Source organism: Homo sapiens, chromosome 1, assembly GCF_000001405.40.
Source record: "Homo sapiens chromosome 1, GRCh38.p14 Primary Assembly".
In the NCBI taxonomy this organism is placed as follows: domain Eukaryota; kingdom Metazoa; phylum Chordata; class Mammalia; order Primates; family Hominidae; genus Homo; species Homo sapiens.
The window spans coordinates 222,562,453-222,587,162 of record NC_000001.11 but is presented as its reverse complement, the minus strand read 5'-3'; the positions used below and the strand labels follow the sequence as shown (position 1 = coordinate 222,587,162).

Here is a 24,710-nt window from a genome sequence, read left to right as displayed (position 1 = left end):
ATTAATGCACATGGCTTAAGGCAGATTTGAATGAATGATACTTCAGAGGTAGTGCTACCGCATCCCTGGTAGGGAACAAACTAGTAATTTAAATTTCCTATAGTTAAGTCATACTTGGGTATGTTTCTGTTACCAGTGTTCTATAGAAAGTCTGAGTCAGTCTGCAAGCAGATAGGTTTAAGACCAAAGACCAAAATTTACATGCTTAGGAATATTTTATATGTCATGGATAGCCTGTTAAACCGAAAATACTTTTGGTCTGCAATGAGAAAATACTTGCAATTAATATTGACATTGTGCTGGTAATTAACCATAATAGGAAAACAAAATTGCCTAACAATTGTTCTATTTATTTTTTATGCTGGTAGATATCTTTTGGCTTTTTGAAGGGCATGCCCAGCAACCCCCTTAGAATAAAAACTTTGAAGACAGGGCCAGTCTGGATTGAAGCTGTATGATGAGTACCTGCGATAGTGCTTGGGACACAGTGGTGCCCAAAAAATACTTGTTGACAGATTGATAAGTTTCCAGATTCTTTGAGTAGCATATTAGAAGTTAGGTTGATGACACTAGTTCTTTATTGTACATCTCTATTCCATGTAAAAATGTGTTTTCCTTGACAATTTTTTTTTCTTAAAGTCATCAGGATCAAGTAAGACTATCTTTTGCTCATTAAAGAATGAAATGAGAGGAGAACTTTTCCTGAGGTAGCTAGGCTAGGTTGGAAGACAAAAGTATTTTCCAAACATTTAGGTATAGTTATCTAAAGTCAATTTATAATCTCAGTTGTGAAAGCTTGAGCGATAGAAGGGAGCTTAGCCTGAGAACAGTTCTCTCCTTTAGGTAAATAAGGGATGTTTTAAGGACGAGGTGTTTTGTCAGTTTCCTAGGCTAGCTGGCAGGTATTGCCACTGATGCCGAGCAGCTTTGGTGTAGATCTTATAAAATGCAGCTTCTGATTGAGAGAGCTGGGCATAGTACTCTGTAGTTGTAATGAGATTCCAGGTGATACTTCTGCTGCATGCCAGGACCACATTGAGTAGCAAGGGCAGGTCCCCAGGTGATTTGTATGTACATTCAAAAGTCTGAGAACACTAGTCTAGCACAGTAGTCTTCAAACTTTTCACTTTTGTATCCCCTAGTTTTTTCTGAAAAATTGAGTACTACCTTGCATAGTTTTAAGGAATCATCTGAAAAAATTTTATTGTATGTTTAATATTTGCAAGAGATAAAATTTCCAGCATGTTGGTATTTTTAAATGACTATATATTACTTTATATGTGATGGAGTCCAAATAGCACAGGAATGGCATAGGGTTTTAATACCTTGCGTTATTCATTTTAAAAAAAATTATGAACAAGCTTTTAATAGATGGACATTTTATGTTCCTCTTTGTTGTACTTCTTGCAATAAAAGTATGTATCAATATTTATACTTTTTTTGTTTATATCCTGTAAGTTTTAAGAATTAAAACTTTTTCTAGGTTGAGACATTGCTATCATTAATAGTTGTACACAGCTGATCAATATAACGTGTATTAAACGTGTTGTTGGCCAGGTGTGGTGGCTCATGCTCATAATCCCAGCACTTTGGGAGGCCAAAAGGAAGGATCACTTGAACCCAGGAGGTCTAGGCTATGGTGAGCTGTGATTGTGCTAGTGCGGTCCAGCCTGGGTGACAGAGCAAGACTCTTTTTTTTTTTTTTTTAATAAAGTTATCTAAAACTTTTCCCCAATTTTTTATGTATTTGTGGGTGACTTTTATGTATTTCTAGAATGAGAAAACATTTAGCATTGATTCTGCTATTTTTTTTAATTGACATAAATTCTGAGAAACCTTAGTCACATAAGTAAGTAGATGGCAGTGAATGGAGTTTAATTATAGCCGTGTATCAGGTCTGTGAATTTTTTCTAAATTATTGATGAAAAATTGCATAATGATTTATTGTAAAAAATTACGTTGTTCTGCAGTTTTGATGAGCAAAGAATTGGGAATTGCCTAACTTGCAAAAGGAGATGTTAGAGTTATTTACTTTTTCAACACCTGTGTTTTCACCTTCAGATAGTGTGTAATGATTTTGATTGTGAAGCTTTGACTATGTAGGCACAGCTGTCTAGGAGATTAACTTGTGGAAAGAGTATGTAAGGAAATCAAATATCTGCAAGTTAATTGTTTTAAAAGTATCTTTGTAAAGTACCTGTTGGTCTTTGTGTACTTACTGGGGTACAATTACCCAGCTGGACTAGAGGGGTCTCATAGTTACGTGGGAAGATAAGAAGATGTAGCAATGTAACTAGTCATTCATATAATAGCACTGTATCTAAGCCCAAATGTTCTTAACATTGGGATTGCCAATACTTTAGAGATATAAATGCTAATTTTTGCAACTGTTTTAATCTCATTTGTATATAATATCATTGAGTTACTAGGAATTTGGTCCTTAAAAAATAAAAGCCCACTTGGGGTTTGCAGAACATGGGTAGGTAATAAAGACCATGTTTGCCTAGAATGACCCTGACATTTTACCCATTCTAAATACCTGGGACTGTGCTTTTGGGGGCCTGTTTGAGAGATTCTCCGCAAATTATTTGGTACAAGGATGAAAGGATGATTGAATCAGATTTAAAGGATCTGGTGACTCTAGTAGCCCCAAAACATCAAATTAGAAATGTTTTTATCTGCTAAAAATAATTAATATAATGTAGAAGGGTTTGTTTCAAGTGAAGCTGGCTTTGGTACTGGGAATGGGCTGGGTCAAGTAATGCCTACTGTTTACTTGTTAAAACTTCTTATCAGAAGTAAGTTTTTTGAATAGTTGAACTGGAGCCACTTGGATAAAAACTCTCTTCTTTTTCGTTTTTATAGCCATTGGAGGGAAAAGGAGGAAGGATTTTGCTCAGACAACAAGTGCTTGTTTAAGTTTTATCCAAGAAGCTCTGCTGAAGCACCAATGGCAGCAAGCTGCAGAATACATGTACAGTTATTTTCAGACCTTGGAAGATTCAGATAGCTACAAAAGGCAGGCTGCACCTGAGGTAAATAAAATTTGAGTTTGCTGGAAGAAATGATAGATTCCCAGAAGTTTATGCCTACAGCTTCACCTACAGTAGCTTTTACAGAATCTCAGTGATTTTGCTAAAAGCTACTAAAACTACTTTTGAGTGGAGAGTTTGTATTGGGACCTTTTTTGCACACTTCTTTTTACCTCTTATTTTAAAGGGGACTAAAATGTTCATTCCAATAATTCTTCCTTTTCCCCCCTCTTTATGGATGTTTCCCATCATCATGTAAAAATTTTGTTATTCTATCTTTTTTTTTTTTTTTTGAGACGGAGTCTTGCTCTGTCGCCAGGCTGGAGTGAAGTAGCGCGATCTCGGCTCACTGCAATCTCTTACCTCCTGGGTTCAAGTGATTCCCCTGCCTCAGCCTCCTGAGTAGCTGGGACTACAGGCATGTACCACCACGCCCGGCTAATTTTTTGTATTTTGGTAGAGACGGGGTTTCACCAGGTTGGCCAGGACGGTCTCAATCTCTTGACCTCGTGATCCGCCTGCCTCGGCCTCCCAAAGTGCTGGGATTACAGGTGTGAGCCACCATGCCCAGCCTATTCTATCTTAAAATCATCTCTTGACCCAAACTTCCCCCATAGACTATACTTCATTGTTTTACTCTCTTTCAGCAAAACTTCTTGAAAGAGTTGTTCTCTTTTTCCAACTAGAGTGATCCTTTTTTTTTTCGTTTTATCAAGACGTTTTTTATACGCCATCACCCACTTAAATTGTACAATTCAATGTATTTTCATACATTTACAGAGTTGTGCAACCAACCATTACCACACTCTAAATTTAGAACCTTTTTTTTCTCCCATGAAACCAAAACCCTGTACCCACTTGCAGTCCTTCCCCATTCCTCCTCACAGCTGCCGGACACTGGCAGCCACTAATCTATTACTTTCTTTTTCTTTTTTTGTTTTCTTTTGAAACGGAGTCTTGCTCTGTTGCCCAGGCTGGAGTGCAGTGGCATGATCTCTGCTCACTGCAACCTCCAGCTCCTGTGTTCAAGTGATTCTTGTACCTCAGCCTCTTGGGTGGCTGGGATTGCAGGCATGCACCACCACACCTATCTAGTTTTTTGTATTTTTAGTGGAGACTGGGTTTCACTCTGTTGGCCAGGCAGGTCTTGAACTCCTGGCCTCAAGTGATCTGTCCACCTCGGCCTCCCCAAAGTGCTGGTATTGCAAGCGTGAGCCACTATGGCCAGCCTAATCTATTTTCTATTCTGGACATTTCATATAAGTGGTTTTGTACAATATGTGGCCTTTTGTAAATGATTTCTTTCACTTGGCATAATGTTTTCATGGTTTATCCATGTTGTAGCATGTATAAGTACTTCATTACTTTTATTGCCAAATAATCTGTCATATGGAAATACCATGTTTTATTTGTCCATTTATCAGTTGTTAGACACTTAGGTTGTTTTTGCTTTTCGGTTATTGGAAATAATGCTTCTGCGAACATTTGTGTACAGGTTTTTGTGTGGACGTTTGTTTTAATTTCTCCTGGGTCTACACCTGGGAGTGGAATTGCTGGTCATATGGTAACACTATGTTTAGCCTCTTGAGGAACTGCCAGACTGTTTTCCAAAGTGGCCATACCATTTATATTCTCACCAGCAATATCTGAGGCTTCTAATTTCTCTAATCCTTGCCAATATTTTGTTATTGTCCTGTCTTACTGATAATAGTCATCCTTGTGGTTGTGAAGTGGCATCATCCTGGTTATGATTTGCATTTCTCTAATGACTAATGATTCAGAGTGAGCTTTTTAAAACATATCAGATCATGTCACTCCTCTGCTGAAAACACTGTAATAGCTTTCCATTTCATTCAGTAAAAGCCAAAGTCATAATTGCCTATAAATTCCTATGTGATGTGCTCACTTCCTTTCCTTGTTTGACCTCTCTGACTTCATCTCCTGAAACAGGTGGAGCATTCCGAATTCAAAAATGTGAAAACCAGAATGCTTCAAAGCTTTTTCATTACTGACATGAGATAGTGACACCTTTGCTTTCTAATGGTTCAATGTATACAAATTTTGTTTCATGCACAAAATTTTAAGAATATTATATAAAATTACCTTCAGGCTATATGTATAGGTGTATATGAAACATAAGTGAATTTCATGTTTAGCCTTTGGTCCTATCCCCAGTCTCATTATGTATATACAAATATTTAAAAAGCGGAAACAATTTCAAGTCTGAAACATTTCTGGTCCCAACGATTTCAGATAAGGGATACTCAACCTGTATTATCCTGCTTGTTTTTTCTTTTCCATCCTCACTGGTCTCCTTGTTCTTACTTGAATGGGCCAGGCATATTCCTGACTGATTGCCTTTGCCTTAACCAGTTCTTGGAAAGCTCTTTCTTCAGCTATCACTGCAGCTACCCTCCTTCAAGGCCCCTTTTCATTGAGGCCTACTTTGACTATTTAAAATTGCAATTGCCTTACTCCAACTGCAACCTGCACTTTCTGAATGGCACTCCTGATCTCCTTGTCCTGCTGCATTCTTTTCCTCTAACAGTTGACAATTTAATTATATTTCTTGGTTATTGTTTGTCTCTCTACATAGAATGTAAATTTCACAGGGCAGGGTTAAAACAGTGCCTGGCATATACTGCTAAATTTCTTCAGTAAAAGACAGTTTACCCACAAATAACTTGACATGAGTGTCTCATAGGTTTTACTAACACAGTCACCATTGCATCAATTAGTTATCTTCTAGAGCAAAAAAAATAAAAAAGAGAAGCTGAAAAAAAAGTTTAACCATTCATTGAAAATTTAATTTATGGACTTAAGTTACATACTCCTGTAAAACATTGAACATGTTACAGCCTCTTGTTGTCCAGATTTTGTTTTGTAAAATGAAGGAATTGGATCAGTGGTTTTTGAGCACTTCTTTGGCTCTCTTTGGATCACCTAGGGCTTTCATTCAAAGTATAAATTCCTTTACTCCACCCCTGTCTATTGAGTCAGAGTATCTTTTATTTGTATTTTTTTATTTTTTGAGATGGAGTCTCACTCACTTTGTCACCCAGGCTGGAGTGCAGTGGCACGATCTTGGCTCGCTGCAAGCTCCGCCTCCCGCCACGACGCCTGGCTAATTTTTTGTATTTTTAGTAGAGACGGGGTTTCACCGTGTTAGCCAGGATGGTCTCACTCTCCTGACCTCGTGATCCACCCGCCTCGGCCTCCCAAAATCCTGGGATTACAGGTGTGAGCCACCGCGCCTGGCCCAGAATACCTATTTTTAACTGGTGTCCCATGTAATTACTGTGTACACTGGTGGTGAGAATAGCTATCATAATCTCAAAGTTTTCTTTTTTTTTTTTTTCCTGCTTTTCTTCCCCCCCTGCATTTACCCATCCCTGGTGGTAGGTGATCCAAGACCCAGGTTTTCTTTAAGCTCCCAAATACTACAGTGTGATATTCTACAAATGAAATCTTGATATCTCTGAGTTGGGAAGATGAGGATCCTTATATCAAATGATAATATGTGTATCATATATAACTATAGCAGTGATAGTGTGTGTATCCACATATAACCAATATGTATGTTCATAGAAATAATTGATTTACAGTTCAGTTTAATTTACTTTGAAGTTGGTATTATTGATTACTTTAAATTGAGGTTAGCGAAATAGAGATTTGCTCTCATGAAAAAAGAGCTCCAAGTTCTGCCGCCAAAGTTTTGGTGATCTGAGGATAAAATATTTTTTTATTAAGATTTGTCCATAGCTAATCAAAATTCTTAAATTGGCATTCTAAATATAGAATAAATGTAGTCAATAGTTGTAGAATTTGATGGGCTCTCAGGAAATGTGTAGTTTGTTGCCCTCATTTTGCAGATGATGAAGAAGAGGCTGAGACCAATGAAGAAGCCAATATTATTAGAACCCAAATTTTCTGACTTTAATATTCTTCCTTCCATACCAATTAAACATTTTATATTAAATATGTATCTTAACTGTCTACTTTCTTTAAACTACTAAATTAATAATGATGCTATTATACTATCTGATATTTTAATAGAAATTTGAAAGGTTAAAACTATTCTATCACATAAGGAAGTAGTATTAATTTTACATGGCAAAGTAGAGTAAAATGTTGACGGTAGTGGTCTCTGGAAAAGGAATCACAGGTTATTAATGTTGTAATCAGGAAAACAATATCTTAGACAGAAATTGGTTAAGGCAAAAATTTTACATTTTGGCAGTAATTTCTGCTTTGACAGATTATTTGGAAGCTCGGAAGTGAAATTCTATTTTATCATCCCAAAAGCAACATGGAGAGTTTCAATACTTTTGCTAACCGGATGAAAAATATTGGCGTCATGAATTATTTAAAGGTGAGAATATGGGCTTTGTGAATTTACACTTGCAGTATTCTTTTTTTTTTCTAATTGCTTGTGTCAGTGATAAGGTAGTTAACCTAAAAAATGTGGGACAAGGATAAGACATTCTGGATAAATAAGAGAAACTGAAAGAAAAGAGCGTTATGAGAACCATTTACTTCTTGATTTTCAGGCGCCTCCTGTGTTCTCTGACTAAAAATTCCTTTTCTTTGTATATTTCTTCTGGCTGCCAAAACCAGTTATTCAGAGATTGCAGTGGTATGATGATGGGCCAGATTCTAAAATGTTTGCTGAAGTCACTTGAGCTTAGAGTTGGTGTTTAGAAAAGGAAAGAGCTAAACAAGTTGGGAATTTAAATACGTGAAAATATTTTAATACTTCTAATGTTTAGGTGGAATCTTCACCTCCAAGTTCATATATCCTTTTGTAAAAGTCTTATCCAAAAAGATTGAGACATTTTCAAAATATTGTATCTCCCTCTCTATGTTTTTGTCTCAAAGAGCACTTTTTCAATACAGGTTTGTAAATGCTTTGCTTTAAAAAAATGTTTTGAGTGTCTATTTGTGTGCCAGATGCTCTTACGATTTTGTTCTCTGGTAGACCAGGTATACTGTGAGTGGAAATTAAATGGGGGCAGTTTACGGTTCTACTTAAGAAAAAGCTTTCTAACTAAACAATTGGAAATGGGAATGGCCTACCCTGATGTGTGCTCTGCGTCTCTTTTTTCAGGTCTAAACTGGATAGCCATTTAATTAGGGAGGGAGTGTGAAGAGTAAACTGTTGGTTAGGTCCCTTTTGGCTCATAGAATCTACTCAGTTGAAGTAAAGAAACTGAAAGGGAACCTCATTTCTCAATAAGAGTCTGAGAGTGATAATTAGGATAGATAATACAATTTTTTTTGTTGTTAATAATTTTAAAAACACTTATTGCCGCTTACCAGGCAATATGCTAGACATGGTTCTTATAGTAGAGGAAGATCATGTAAATGGAATGAAGTGTTATGGGTACCATAGTAGAAATGTAACAAATGGTGAGAAGATAAAGGAGAAAATGGCCAGTTCTCTGGAACTAGAGAGGGTTGGGATTTAATGGGTAGGGGAATCAGGAAAAGAATGAAAGTGATACTTGAGATAAGTTTGCAAAAGCAATTGGCCATTCACTAGGCAGATTAGGGGAAAGGGCAGCCCTGCATGGCGGGGGTTATAAAGAGTTTAAAAGCCCTACATCCAATAATTTAGTTACTCTAAAAATCACTTGGGTAGAAGTTGGGGGAAGTAGGCTGGGCCCTGTGTGCCATACCCAGGGAACTTGGATTTTAATTCTGTAGTCAGTGGGAGCCATTGAAGGAGTTTATGCAAATGACTAACAAGATGAAATTTCTTTGGTAGCCACTTGAAAGATGGATTGTAGGGAGGCAGGAATGGAGAGGCCAGTTGACAACTTATTGCAGTACTTTGGCTCTACCCATATGATTAATTGTAGTTCTCATTATTCTCCTCTTTAATGTCTTCCCTTTTTGTAATACTCATTCTTTGTATAATTTTTCTTCCTGCTTCTCCTGTATCAGGGATACACTTTCCTCTCCATCTGAACTGAAGCCATTCTTCAGCATCCCTTATTAAGATATTTTCTCTAAGCTTATATAACATGTATAAAATAGTAATATTTGTTGAATGTCTGCTATGAGCCAAACTATTAGGTGATTTGCAAGTATTATCTCATTTAATCTTGAAAACACCCTTCTGAAGGGGCAGTAATGTTCCGTAAAACAAATGAGACTCACAAAGAGTGAATAATTTACCCAGGTTTATTTAGTTTTTAAGTGGTGTATGAACCAAGACACTCATCTTCAAAACCTCTTTTTTCCCCACTATATCACACTGTCTTTTGTTTGTAAGTTTACATAATTTAGCTCATATTTACATAGTGTTAATTGTTTCCTATGTCTTACTTCTTTGCCAGATTGTACCCAACATCAAAATTTTCCATGTCAAGTTATTTGTATCCTACCAAGGTCTTTGCCCAGCATGTATTATATATTTACTGAGCTTTTTGACTAATGGTTATCTAATGGCTTAAATGGCGGTGTACCCTTATTATTTTTGCAGATCTCCTTACAACATGCATTATACCTTCTGCATCATGGAATGCTTAAAGATGCTAAGAGAAATCTGAGTGAGGCAGAGACATGGAGACATGGTGAAAATACGTCTTCCCGGGAAATATTAATCAACCTTATTCAGGCCTATAAAGGGCTTTTACAGTATTATACCTGGTCTGAAAAGAAGATGGAATTGTCAAAGCTTGGTAAGTGAATACAGGTAAACTTTTTCTTATGATGAGACTGAGGGGCAGAGGGATCTTAAGGAGTAATCTAGTAATTTCCCTATTGACTTCATCCAGATATTATGGAGAACAGACTTTTTATGGATTTAAAATTCTTGATCCTTTATAATATTTCTGATATATAAAAAGCTTCAATCATAAATTAGATGGTTCATAATTAAGTTCATGATCATTTTAGGTTCATTGCTGTTTTGAATGTGATTTAGTCCAGGATAAACACAGCCAGACACAGCAGTGGAGACAGGTTTGATTCAGTAACTACTGACAGGAGGAAGAGCTAAACTCCATTCCAATTTCTATGGAGGTGACTTGGGGTTGTAAAGGGTGGGGGTGGGGAGCTTAAAAAGCAGAAGGCAGAACCACCAGTAAATTCTTCTGGAGTTTTCCCAGGCAAACATTTCAAGAGGGGCTGGGGTCATCCTGGGGATGTGGCCTTGAGCTGTTAGAAACTATGTTAGTGTTCTAGAAACTATGTTCAAGTATTTATTGGCCAAGTTTGAGGCCTAGTCCAGAAGAGAGCTCAGAGGAGCCTGGCTGGAGTTTGGTCAAGAAGAAAGTCTTTGCCAATTTCTAAGAAAGGCTACAGATTTTCTTCAGCAGTCATTATTACATATAATAAACATTTCTTCCTGTGTGCCTAGAATGGAGTTTAATTTACTTTGTAATGTTATTTCTCAGAATAATATGTTTAAAGAATAGGTCAAGATGGTCATTTCATTTTTGTGTAAAGGTTATAATGGACAATTTTCTTGATTTATTGACTATACCAGAAGTTGACCATTCAGTTCTCAAACTGATTCCCCTTCTCTTAACCTTCAATGGTGTTATCATCTTCATTTATGCCCAGATTTGCATTCACTGGAACTGTATGATTCTTTGCAATTCGCTTGCCTTGTATAGTTTCTCCGTAGGGGATAATCCTCGAGATTAACCTAATCTCTATGATTAACCCCTTTCTGTTTTCATCCTCCTCCATATCTTAGTCCTACTATTTATCACTTCTTATGTGGTAAGCAGTATTTCCTTATTATCCTTATGTGATAAGTGGTATTTCCTTGGTCTCTGGGCATGTAGTTTCACTAATTTCGATTCCCTTCCCTCTTCTTTCAAGATACTCTGAAATGCTCTCTTCATCATGATAATCTTGTGAGGCCTTTGTAGAGTCTCCTCTTCTAGAATGCTCTCTATTCTTCAAGACTCATTGGATCGCTGTCCCAAACCCTCATTCTTACACCTTAAACTTAATATATCAGCTGCATGTTCAGCCTGAATCATTTGGCTATTCATCTCTTGCTTTCTAATTGTGCTAAGTTTTTTCATGTGTATTTTATTAGTCCAGATATCTTCCCGTTTAGACTAATCAATGTTTGATGTAATATTCCTCTATTTCTTTTGTTAGTCTTGTCATATTTTCTGGTGTAATAGTTCTTTTTCAAAACTTACTCATTGATTAGGTTAGTTTTAAAGTCAGTATTTACTTTTCTTCTTATACATGGTTAGGTAAAACTCAAGCAAATATCTGATGATTAAAGCTGTTGGAACATCGCATTTGTAATGTTACTCTTGTGGATAGATGGTTCAGTACCTTTCCGTAGCTGACAGTTCTGTAGCAACAATAGATGATGATGGGATAATATGTAGAGCTCTTAGATGATCATTCACCTCAAGTGTCTATTTAACGAGAAAAAAAGTTAGGACTAGTTCTTTATAACCAAACTCATGGGCACTTACCATGTGAACTTGTACTTGGAGTCAGCTTGGGACTTTCTTGCTGTTATGTGGCTCTGTCTTGGTTGGGATTGATGCACTTGGTGACTAGGAACCTCCTTCTATAATAAATTCAAACCCAATTTATACTCAGGGATCTGTCTCTTTCTCTTTGAGGCAGAGTCTTGCTGTCTCAGTCTGGAGTCTCTTGCTGTCAGGCTGGAGTGCAGTGGTGTGATCACGGCTCATTGCAGCCTCGACCTCCTGGGCTCAAGTGATCCTCCCACCTCAGCCTCCCAAGGACTTGGGACTACAGGTGTGCACCATCAATTTTTTTTTTTGTGAAGATGGGGTCTTACTGTGTTGCTTAGGCTGGTCTTGAACCCCTGGGCTCAAGCAATCCTCCTGCCTCAGCCTTCCAAACTGCTAGGATTACAGGCGTGAACCACCATGCCCAGCCCTTTTTTTAAAAAAAATTTTTTTCCATATAATGTCTTACCTACTTTCCTATCACCTCATTTCTAAGTTCATATTGATATGTATTTAACTGATCCACTGGGAAAAAGATACCAGTGCCTCTGTTTGGTTTGCAGTATCTTGTGCTTCTAATAGCTATTTTTGAAAGACTTGAGTAACTTTCTTTGTAAACCTTTAAGATTGAGAAATAGATACAGAAAAAGCATATAAAACAAATGTGAGATATAATGAATAAATTTAAAATGGACATTCACATAACCACCACCCAGATTAAGAAACACAAAATACTGTCACCCTAACCTAAAATTCTCCCTGTGTGCCTTCCTGACTGCATTTCCTCCCATTCTCTCTCAAGAAAATCCCTGTCCTGACTTATGTTAATCACTCACTGGTTTTTCTTTATACTCTTTCCACTCATGTATACATTTGTAAACAATGTGATTTAGTTTTGCCTATATCTGAATGCTGTATTTGGAGTTGTACTGTATATATTCTTTTAGGCCTTGCATATTTTGTTCAAAATCAGTTTTAAGATAATACATGTTATTGGATGTAGCTCTAATTTATTCATTTTTTATGGTTATAAAATATTTTATGATAGTCACACTATTCCTTCTATTACTGATGGCCATTTAGGTTACTATTTTGGGCTATTATAAATAATTCTGCTTTGAAATGAACCCCTATTAATTTCTGTATACCGGTGCACATAAGTATGCATTTCTAGGAGTAGAATTGTCATAGAATATGTTTTGTGCGTCTTTAACTTTGGTACATAATATACTAAACTCTTTCCAAAGAGGTTACCAATTTGTACTTTACCGACAATCTGATTAGAGTTTTCTTTTGTTTGTATTCTCCTCAACATTTGTTATTGTCAGAGTTTTCATATCAGCCAATTTGTTGGGTGTAGTGATCTCTCATGGTTTTTTTTCTTTATAGCTTTATTGAGAATTAAGATATAATTCACATACCATACAAATTCACCCACTTAAAATATACAACTCAGTGGTTTTTAGTATATTCATAGAGTTGTAACCATCAGTACAATATTAGAATATTTTCATGACCCTAAAAAGAAACCCTGTGCTCTCCCATTTCTCCCCACCCCTCCAGTCCTAGGCAACCACTAATCTGCTTTCTGCCTCTAGAGATTTGCCTGTTCTGGACATTTCATACAAATGGAATCATACAGTATGTGGTCTTCTTTTACTTAGCATAATTTTTTTTTTCCCTAACAGAAAATTTTGACAAAGAAAGCATAATGTTTTTAATGTTATAGCATGTAATGGTACTTCATTTCTATTACTGAATAGAATTCCATTGTTTGTATATACTATATCTTAGGTATCCATTCATCAGTTGATGAACAATTAGATTGTTTCTACTTTTGCCTATTTTGAATAACATTGCTGTGAACATTTATGTACAAGTTTTTGTATGGACATGTGTTTTTATTTCTCTTGGGTATATACCTAAGAGAGAAATTGCTGGGTCATATAACTCTAAGTTTATCCTTTTTAAGAACCACTGGACTGTTTTCCAAAGCAATTGCACTATTTTACATCCCCAGTAGCGGTGTATGAGGGTACAAATTTCTCCACATCCTCACCAACACTTGCCATTATCTGTCTTTTCTATTATAGTCATCCTGGTGGGTGTGAAATGGCATCTTGTAGTTTTGATTTGCATTTTCCTGGGTGTTAATGATGTTGAGCATCTTTTCATGTGCTTATGGGCCATTTGTATATCATTTTTGGAGAAATTTTCATTCAGATCTTTTGCTCATATTTTAATTACCTGCTTTTAGATTATTGAGTTTTGTAAGAGTACTTAGTTGTTCTAGACAGAATTCTCTTATCAGATATATCAGATTCATGACTTGGAAATATTTTCACCTTTTCTGTGTGTTTTCACTATCTTTTTATTTTATTTTACTATTATTATTTTTTGAGACGGAGTCTCACTCTGTCACCGAGGCAGGAGTGCAAGTGGCGCAATCTCAGCTCACTGCAACCTCTGGCTCCCAGGTTCAAGTGATTCTCCTGCCTCAGCCTCCCGAGTAGGTGGGATTAGAGGTGCCTGCCACCACGCCCAGCTAATTTTTGTGTTTTTAGTAGAAATGGGGTTTCACCATGTTGGCCAGGCTGGTCTCGAACTCCTGACCTCAAGTGATCTGCCCACCTCAGCCTCCCAAAGTGTTGGAATTACAGATGTGAGCCACTGTGCCTGGCCTTCTTTTCACTATCTTGATGGTGTCCTTTGAAGCATAAAAGTGTTTCATTTGATGAGGTTTAATTTAACTGTTTCTTCTTTTGTTGCTTGTGGTTTTGGTATCACATCTAAGAAGCTGTTGCCTACTGCAAGGTCGCAAAGATTTTCACTTCTTCTGAGAGTTTTAAAGTTTTAGCTCTTATATTTTGGCCTTTGAGTTAATTTTTATGAAGTAGGTAGGGGCCCAACTTTATTATTTTGTATGTGGATATCCAGTTGTAGCATTTATTGAAAAGTCTATTATTTTCCCACTGAATTGTCTTGGCACCCTTACTGAAAATTAGTTAGCAGCCGGGAGCAGTGGCCATGCCTGTAATCCTAGCACTTTGGGAGGCCAAGACAGGTAGATCGCATGAGCCCTCAGGAGTTCGAAACCAACCTGGGCAACATGGTGAAACTGCATCTCTACAAAAAATACAAAAATTAGCTGAGTGTGGTAGCGTGTGCCTGTAGTCCTGGCTACTTGAGTGGCTGAGGTGAGAGGTTCACTTGAGCCCAGGAGGTAGAGTGAGGCTTCAGTAAGCTGAAATCATGCCACTGCAGTCCAGCCTGGGAGACAAAGTAAGGCCCTGTCTTACACACACACAAAAGAAAATTAGTTACCTATAAATGTAGAGGTTTACTTCTGGACTCTAAATCTTCCATTGATCTACATGTGTCTCTCTTTCTGCCCATATCACACAGTCTTGATTACTACAGCTTTGTAGTACTTTTTTTTTTTTTTTTTTTGAGACTGAGTCTTGCTGTGTTGCCCATGCTGGAGTATAGTGGCAGGATCTCAGCTCACTGCAATCTGTGTCTTCCAGGTTCAAGCGATTCCTGTGCCTCAGCCTCCTGAGTAGCTGGGACTACAGGCGTGTGCCACCACGCCCAGCTAATTTTTTCGTACTTTTAGTAGAGACGGGGTTTCACCTTGTTGGTCAGGCTGGTCTCGAACTCCTGACCTCAGGTGATCCACCCACATCGGCCTCCCAAAGTGCTGGGATTATAGGTGTGAGCCACCATGCCTGGCCATAGTCATAGAGTACATTATCCAACTTTGTCCTTTTTAAAGATTCTTTGTTCTTCTTTGGTCCCTTGCATTTTCGTATGAATTATAGAATCAGCCTGTCAACTTATGCAAAAAGGCCGAGTTTTTGATAGGAATTACATGTATCTGTAGATCAATTTGACAATAGTAAGTCTTTCAACTGAACACAGAGTGTCTTTTCATTCATTTAGGTCTTAAAAAATTTTTTTTCAACAGTATCACTTTTCAGAGTAAAATTTTGCATCTCTTTTGTAAAATTTCTACCCATTTTGTTACTTTTGATGCTTTTGCAAATGGCATTGTTTTCCTAATTTTATCTTCTGCTTGTTCATTGCAAGTGTATAGACATACAGTTGATTATTGTGTATTGATCTTGTACTCTGCAACCTTTGTGAACTCATTTATTAGTTCAGTAAATTTTTAGTGGGTTCTTAGGATTTTTCTGTGTACAAGACCATGTCATCTGCAAATAGAGATAGTTTTACTTCTTCCTTTCCAATCTTGGATATCTTTTTGTTATGTTCTTGCTTAATTGTCCTGGCTGGAACCACCAATATAATGAACAAAAGTAGTGAGAAAAGACATTTTTGTCTTATTACTGATTTTAGGGGGAAAGCATGCAGTCTTTTATCATTCAGTTCAATGTTAGCTATGAGTTTTTCATAGATGCCCTTTATCAGATTGAGGAAGTTCCTTCTGTTCCTACATTGTTGAGTCTTTTTATCATGAAGGGTTATTGTGTTTTTTCAGATGCTTTTTCTGTGTCTATTGTGATGATCATGAGGTTTTGGTCCTGTATTCTTTTGATTTGGTTTAGATCAATAGATCTCTATTTTATTATTTGCATTAATTGATTTTCAGATGTTAAGCCAACCTTGCATTCCTAGTATAGATCCGACTTGGACATGATGTATAATGCTTTTTATATGTTGTTGGACTCAGTTTGCTAGTATTTTTGTTAAAGATTTTTGCAGCTATATTCTTAAGAGATACTGATCTGTAGTTTTATTGTGTTGTCTTTGGTTTTGGTATCATGGTAATACTGGCTTAGAATAAGTTAGGAAGTATTCTTTTCTGTCCTTTTTTTGGGAGAATTTGTGAAGAATTAGTATTTTCCTTTAAATATTTGTTGGAATTTACTGTTGTAGCTATCAGCAACTGAGTTTTTCTCGCAGATAGTTTTTTAAATTACTAATTTAACAGAGGTCCTCAATGTTTAATGAATGTTAAAAGATCTTGTATCTTTGGGCAGATAAGGATGATTATGCTTACAATGCAGTAGCCCAGGATGTGTTCAACCACAGCTGGAAGACATCTGCAAATATTTCTGCATTGATTAAAATTCCTGGAGTTTGGGACCCTTTTGTGAAGAGTTATGTAGAAGTAAGTAGAATTTTCATTAAATTTATTGGTTTTATTTTGTCAAAAGCCTATACAAAGACTGCATGCCTAATCTTTATTGATCAGAAAGAAACTAATGGAAAAAATTATTTAAAAGAAAGCAAAAATACGGTGTCTCTTTTTTGGTCTGAATTTGTTTATTTTCACCACTGTATAACCCGTCGTGGCCAAGTATCTATAAAATAAATAGCAGTATAGTTGTAAATGTTAATTCAATCTTATTCTTGTTGAGCTTAAAAGAAATGCAGTAAGATACCTTATGATTTGGTGGGATATAGAAGGAAAGAGGACAAAAATCTGAAAAAATGGGTCATACTATATGAGGTGAAGAATGATGGCTTTTTGGAAGTTCATAAGAATGTCCTGTCATCCCAGAGTCATTGTAAAAGGACTGAGGGCCTTGGTGCTAGGCACTAGGAATAAATCTTCAAAATAATTTGCTTTGTGAAAGTTAATGAGTGGCAAGTTGATAATTGTGTTGTCAGAAGATAATCTCCAAAATCATAATCTGGAGATTCCTGTGTAAGGATGGGAACAGGATGAAAGGAATTACAATTCTCATGCACTCCTTTTGTGGCTGCAGTGATGTAGGGCACTGAGGTTAGCTGCATCACATTTTCGAGCATTAGTGTTCCCTGCTTTGAGGACTCTTATTTTTTATAGGAAGAGAATTTATGTTGAGGTTGCTGCATTGTTTATTAGTAGTAACAAAATACAGGGAAAAAATGGGAACCCTGTCAGTTTTGTGATTTTTAAAAAATACCCATCAGTAAACTTATGCTGTGTATTATTTTTCGTATAGCTGTCTTACAGAATTCAGCTAAGATATTATGATTTATTTTATATAGATGCTGGAATTCTATGGGGATCGAGATGGAGCCCAAGAGGTACTCACCAATTATGCATATGATGAAAAGTTTCCATCAAATCCAAATGCCCATATCTACTTATACAACTTTCTAAAGAGACAGAAGGCACCAAGATCAAAATTGATAAGTGTGCTTAAGGTATAGAATTTTTATCTCGATGTTTGACCAGGGTTGGGAATCTACATTAAAACATTCTTAGGCCATTGCTTTCTAACTTTTATAGCATCTACAGAAAATTTCAATAATGTACAGTACACTGAGATAAACAGAGAAAGTTGGCTCCAGCTGCCATCTCCATGTATGTATCATCCACACTATCCCCTGCTGCCCGGATGAGACTGAGGAGAGAGGATCAGAAGTCTTGTGCAACCCTGGTTGGAATACTCTGCACTGATATTTTTTGAAAATCAACTTTATTGAAATTTAGTTTTCAGAGAGTAAACACACTTATTTTAAGTATGTGCTTGGATGCGTTACATTCATGAACCACCATGGTAATCATGATATAGAACATTTCTGTCGCCCCCAGAATGCCTTTCATTTCCCTTTGCAGCCTGTCTGTCCCCACAACCATGGCCCCAGACAATCACTGATCTGCTTATTGTCACTATAGATTAATTTTTATCTCTTCTAGAATTTCATGTAAATGGACTCTTATGTAGTCATTTTAATCTGGCTTCTCTTGCTCAGCGTAACATATTTGAGATTCACCCATGTTATTGTGTATATTAGTAATTTCCTTATTACTGCTGAATAGTATTTCATTTTTATACATTCACTTCTTGATGGACATTTGGGTAATTTTTACTTTTTGGCTATTGTGAATGATGCTGCTGAGAACATTCATGTACAAGATTCTGTATACACATATATTTTCATGTTTCTTGGGTAGCTACCTGAGAGAGGAGTTGCTGCCTAAGAGTAGTAAGGAAAGTATATGCTTAACTTCCTAAGAAACTGCCCAGCTGTTTTTTGAAGTGACTGTACCATCGACATTCACACAGCAATATGAAAATTCAGTTTCTCCACATCTGTGCCAACACTTGGTATTGGAGGTCTTTTGAATAATAGCCTCTTGTGGGTGTCCCATGTGGCATTAAATTGTATTTCCCTAATGACTAGTGATGTTGAGCATCTTTTAGTATGTCTATTGGCCATCCTGTATCTTCTTTTGTCATGTGTCCAACTACTTAGTCTATTTTTGGGGGGATCAATTGTCTTCTTACTGATTTGGAAATTTTTATATAATCTGGATATAAGTCCTTTGTGAAGAATATTAATTATGAATATTTTCTCTCTGACTGTGCCTTGCCTTTTGGTTTCCTTAATAGTATCTTTCAAAGAGTAGAAACTTCTAGTTTTGATGTTCAGTTTGTACATTTTTTTTTCTTTTATGGTTAGTGCTTTTTGTCTAAGAAATATTTGCCTATCTCAAGATAATGAAGAGTTCTTTTTTTTTTTTTTTTCTAGATGTGTTGTATAGTTTTATGTTTAGGTCATGGTAGATTTTTAGCTATTTTTTTGTGGGTAGTGTGTGGCAAAGGTCAAGGTTCATTTTTTCCCATGTGGTTGTTCCAGCATTATATTGAAGACTCTCCTTTCTCCATTTAGTACATTTGGAACTTTGTTGAAAACCAGTAGGCTGTATATGAAGTCTGTTGTGTTCTAGTGATGTATATTTCCACCTCAATAGATGAAAATTCAGTTTCTCCACATCCTTGCCAATACTTCATATTGTAGGTCTTCTAAATGTGAGTTATTGCCATTCTAGTGGGTGTGTAGTAATATCTCATGTGGCCTTAATATGGTTACTGTAGCTTTGTAGCAAGTCTTGGAATCATATCATGAAAGTCATACAAATTTGTTCTTTTTCAAAATTGCTTTTGGCTTTTCTAGGTTCTTTAACTTTCCATGTATATTGTATAATCAACTTACCTGTTGCTACAAAAAGGTCTTGCTGAGATTTTGAATCTATAGATCAGTTTGAGAGAATTGACATCTCAACTGTATTGAGGTTTCCAAAGTGTAAACATGGCATGTCTCTCCATTTATTTAGGTTTTTAATTTCTCTCTGAACTGTTTTGTAGTTTTTAGTGTATGTATTTTGTTAAATTTGTCCCTAAGTGTTTCATGGGGTTGTTGTATATAATATTGCTTAACATTTTAAATTGTGGGAAAATATATACAAAAATAAATGTTACCATTTTGATCATTTTTAAAGCATATAATTTAGTGGCATTAAGTACATTCATTCACAGTTTTGTGCAACCACCATCACTGTCTATTTCCAGAATGTTTTCGTTATCCGAAGTAGAAACTATTCATTAAACAATAACTCCTCATTGCCTGCTCCTCCCAGCCCCTGAAAACCTCTGTGCTAATTTCCATCTTCGTGAATTTGATTATTCTAGGTACCTCATATAAGTGGAATCATATAACATTTGTCCTTTTGTGTCTTGCTAATTTCACTTAGCATAATGTTTTCAAGGTTCATCCATGTTGTAGCATATATCAGAACGGCCATTTTTATTTAAGGCTGAATAATATTCCATTTTATGTACCTACAACATTTTGCTTATCCATTTCTTGGTAGACATTTGGGTTGTGTTTGTTGTTTGGCTATTATAAGTAATGCTGCTCTAAAGATTAGTGTACAGGTATTTGTTGGAGTTCGCTGCTTTCACTTCTTTTGGGTGTATACTCAGGAGTGAAATTGCTGGATTATATGGTAATTCTTTTAACTTTTTGAGGAATTGTCAAACTGTTTTCTACAGCAACTACACTATTTTACATTCCTACCAACAATTCCACATCCTGGCTAACAGCTTCTATTCTCCATCCCCTTTTTTGATCATTGATATCCTAGTGCAGGGATCCCCAACCCCTGGGTCATGGACCGGTATCTGTTTGTGACCTGTTAGGAACCAGGCCACACAGCAGAAAGTGAGCATCAGGCAAGTGAGCATTACCTGAGGTCTGCCTCCTGTCAGATCAGCGGTGGCATTAGATTCTCATAGGAGCCCGGACCGTATTGTGAACTGCACATGGGAGGGATCTAGGTTGTGTGCTCCTTATGAGAATTTAATGCCTAATGATCTGTAACTGTCTCCCATCACCCCCAGATGGGATCATCCAGTTGCAGGAAAACAAGGGCTCTCACTGATTCTACTTATGGTGAGTTGTATAATTATTTCATTATATATTATAATGTAATAATATAAAGTGCACAATAAATGTAAAGTGCATAAATAATGCAATCCCGAAACCATCCTTGACCCTCACACTGGTCTGTGGAAAAATTGTCTTCCACGAAACCAGGACCTGGTGCCAAAAAAGTTGGGGACCGCTATCCTAGTGGGTGTGAAGTGGTATCTGTGTCTCAGTGTGGTTTTGGTTTGCATTTCCCTAATGTCTAGTGATGTGTATCTTTTCATGTGCTTATTGGCCATTTGTTTATCATCTTTGGCAAATGTCTATTCAAGTCCTCTGCCCTTTTATGAATTGGGTTGTTTGGTTTTTGTTGTTAAATTATAGGAATTCTTTGTATATTTTGTGTTCAGTTTTTAATCATGGCATTTTAGAGGTGAAAGACAAAGGTCCTTTCAACCTAAAGAAATGATAGAGAAAAGTTCTTATCTCTGTTTTCTTTTAAAAGGCCAATTATCTTTATACTTTCGTGATCAAAATTGGCATTATCAAACCTTCAGATGTGGAAACTAAGTTTTATAAATTTTTCAACAGGCTTTGTTTTACTAAACAATCCTTTGCTGTTGTTGTTGTTTGAAACAGGGTCTCACTCTGTTGCCCAAGCTGGAGTGCAATGGCATGATCACGTGAGGCTCCCTGTAGCCTCCACCTCCCTGGCTCAGGTGATCCTGCCACCTCAGCCTCCCGAGTAGCTGGGACTACAGGCACACGCCACCATGGCTGGCTAATTTTTTGTATTTTTGGAGAAACAGGGTTTTGCTATGTTGCCCAGGCTGGACTAAACAATACCTTTAAAGTTGCTATTTTTATTTTACTCTCTTAAGATAGCTTTTGGCTCATTTATATTACAAAATATTAAGGATTGTGTTTAAAACAAAAGCAAGACTGTGCTTTCAGGTTATCAATCACTAATGGTGTTTTTGAAAAGATTTTTTAAAATGCTACAGAAAATAACTGTTGAATACTTATCTCATATTTATATTCAAGACAAGATGGATTTAGAGAAATTCTGTTTTTCCTTTTGAAAAATAGGGTATTTGGAATTAAGATCTCAATACATGGGTTTAATAGCAGATTGGACATAGCAAAAGAGAGGATTAATGAACTGCATAGAAAATATCAGGCTAAACCATGGAGAACAAAAAGGATGAAAGGTGCAGAAACGAGCATACAAGTGAATTGGTGAAAAGATCTGACATACCTGTCATTGGAGTCCTAGGTGGAGGACCTCTGAATAGAACAGGGCAAAAGCAAGCAAACTAATTTTTTAAAAACACTGGCATTTGAAGGGCTCATGACTAAGACTTTTTCAAAACAAATGGAGGATTTCTAGTGTTCTGGTGATGTGCTATTATTTGATCTGGGTGCTGGTTACCTGAGTGTTTAACTTTGTGAAAACTGACTGGTGTCATGATTTGTATGCACTTCTACTACATGTTATATTTCAATAGAAAAATCTAAGTGAATTGAGCCATATACAGAATTCTATAAAATCATGAGACAAATGTGACTTTCATAGGAACTGAATTTCAATAATATTCTCTGATATTGGTGTATTGATCTTGATTGATCTTTTTAAAAATGATTAAGAGAAATTAACAAAATTTACTTTTAATTTTGTTGGAAATTATTTCAATGTAAGGTCAAAGTACTTTAGTAAGCAGAATGAATTCATTTCTAGTATTAAATGTATTAAAATGAAAAATACAGCTTTACTTTAAATTCCATTTTTTGAATATTCATAAAAATAGTCCTTCCTATTTTTTAAAAGAAAAATCTTTAATTTTTTCATTGTGTGAAAGGTTGTTAAAATATTTACTCATATAACCTTAGTAAACTGTTCCTGAGCACAATCTGTGAAATTAACTCCCAGCCTTTTTAGCTTTTTTGCTTTATATAAATATTCTGTGATCTCTTCTGTTTAGTAAATAAGTATATTTTCTGTGTGATAATTGATTTTTTTCTTTTTTTCTTCAGTCCTGGCTTCTGAAAGAAATCGTTTTTAGTTGTTGAGCGTGGTAAACAGTATAGATATGTATAAGGAGCAAATAAAAAGTCCCTGCCTATTTTCCTCACTTCTCCTGACTATTTTGTTATCAGGGCCTTTTTTTTTTTTTTTTTTTTAAGACAGCTTTACAGAGAATGCTTTTCTATACTTAGATTGAAACTAGATAAAGAGCCAGGGTATTTTTAAAATACTTAATAAATTTAAAGGGAGCATATTAGACAGTAAGAACTTTATTTTGAAAGTAAGCTGAAATTTGAGAAATGCTTTTACAAGTATGTAAAGATTACAAGACTGTTCTTTCTTTCAGATTTTGTATCAGATTGTACCATCTCATAAATTGATGTTGGAATTCCATACATTACTTAGAAAATCAGGTAATAAATAAATGTTGTTTTATACCTTGTGTAGACAAGCTATAGACTAGGGACCAGCAAACTAGTTTAGCCCATCGGCTAAATCCACCCCTTTCCTGATTTTATAAATCAAGTTCTGTTGGAGTCCATCTGTTTCTGTATTGTCTGCGGCTGCTTTTGCACTATAGTGACAGAGCCGTGTAGTTGTGACAGAGACTGTATGCCTTGCAAAGCTTAAAATATTTATTATCTGGGCCTTTATAGAAAAAGTTTGCCTACTCCTGTTACACAATGTGAAGGCAGTAGTTTGCAAAAGAGAAATGGCTCGATTTTATATAATTCACTCCATTTTAATCCCTGCTACATTTCAGCACACCATAGAAGAGAGCATGCTCCTTCATAGAAGAAAATCAGCTGGCTAAGCCCAAGCTGGTCCTAGGACTGCCTAGGTTCCTCTCTGAATATGAAAGAACATGTATAAAATGCCCAAACAGGGCAGGTACTTTAAATAATGTCCTTAGTAGAGGAGTGTAACCCATATTGAGATCAAATTCACCACCATTACCTCATTAGCAGGGATTTTTATTGAGTTTTTCAGATTCATTGCAGGAGTAAGAGCATAATGAATTTTTAAAAACTGTTAACCAGAAGGCTTATGATTCAGTATTTTATCAACAACATATATGTAAAGTATATATACAGTTGATAAAATGTATACATGTAAATTTTAGCTTTGTACACTTTAATACCTTATGTAAACTTGAACTGTTAAAACCATTGCAGAAAAAGAAGAACACCGTAAACTGGGGTTGGAGGTATTATTTGGAGTCTTAGATTTTGCCGGATGCACTAAGAATATAACTGCTTGGAAATACTTGGCAAAATATCTGAAAAATATCTTAATGGGGTAAGAAACATACAGTGTTTATTACTAGGTCATCATAAATAATATTTCCCAATATTTTAGCTAATATCAATTTTTAAAGATCTTTGCTTATGTTTTATAATTTCTTGAATTGTGTCTTCAGCTGTTTTCTGAGTACATTTTCTTCTGAAGCAAAGAAATACAGAGTCATAAGGAGAACATACAAAAATTCTATCAATTTTTTTATGCCATCAAAATAAATCCTGTACTTAGCACTACTGCTTGCTAAGGAATACGTATGTGTTTTCCATTTGGAAATAAAGACTAGCAGGGATCACTCTTTGCTAAAGACTCTTTGTGATTTGTGCGTCATTAACTTGTAAGATCACATGGGAAGCAGCTTTCCTCCTACCTGTGTTTGATCATTTTCAGTGAGTATTTTTAGGACCTGACAAGATCATCATACACTAGTCATTTAACAAATACTCATTAAATCCATTTTGACCTGGGTATCTAAAAGTGTACCTCTGATCATAATATTGTTAGTGTCACATTTTGAGTAAAAGAAAATGAATTTCCTGTTATTTTTACTTAGTGTGTGAGAAGAAGGGATATTACAAAGTTGTTTCATATATTTATTATATCCAATTTAGTTGTTAGGCAATTCAGTGTCAGTTGGAAATTGTTTCAGGCTTCAGATCTGACTTGTCCCGATGGGACAGTGCTGTTTATAAAATGGTTTTGGTGTCATATGTTGACGCA

At 36.1% G+C, this 24,710-nt stretch overlaps 1 protein-coding gene across 11 annotated transcripts in view, besides 1 other annotated feature; it reads left to right on the top strand.

Annotated features, from left to right (window-relative positions):
- The window catches only part of TAF1A (TATA-box binding protein associated factor, RNA polymerase I subunit A), a 35,829-nt gene that overhangs the window by 2,771 nt on the left and 8,348 nt on the right, over positions 1-24,710 (top strand). For 3 of the 11 annotated variants that reach the window (XR_007064851.1, NM_001201536.1, NM_005681.4), the window contains exons 3-9: positions 2,866-3,035; positions 7,291-7,404; positions 9,520-9,718; positions 16,498-16,628; positions 17,495-17,653; positions 23,038-23,104; positions 23,867-23,990. Coding sequence is in view for 9 of the 11 variants with exons in the window: in NM_001201536.1 (NP_001188465.1) it covers positions 2,866-3,035; positions 7,291-7,404; positions 9,520-9,718; positions 16,498-16,628; positions 17,495-17,653; positions 23,038-23,104; positions 23,867-23,990 (964 nt within the window). In the remaining 2 variants the exon portion in view is untranslated. Of the gene's footprint in view, positions 1-2,865; positions 3,036-7,272; positions 7,405-9,519; positions 9,719-16,497; positions 16,629-17,494; positions 17,654-17,738; positions 19,739-20,637; positions 20,690-23,037; positions 23,105-23,866; positions 23,991-24,710 lie in introns of those variants that run through there. The other 8 variants (XR_007064852.1, XM_006711612.2, NM_139352.2 and 5 more) reach the window with 6 other exon arrangements.
- Positions 4,678-4,817: an enhancer, noted in NCBI's record as "active region_2576". NCBI's record gives its function as "activates an Ori minimal core promoter by ATAC-STARR-seq in GM12878 lymphoblastoid cells {active_cell/tissue: GM12878}" and the evidence as "EXISTENCE:reporter gene assay evidence [ECO:0000049][PMID:35858748]".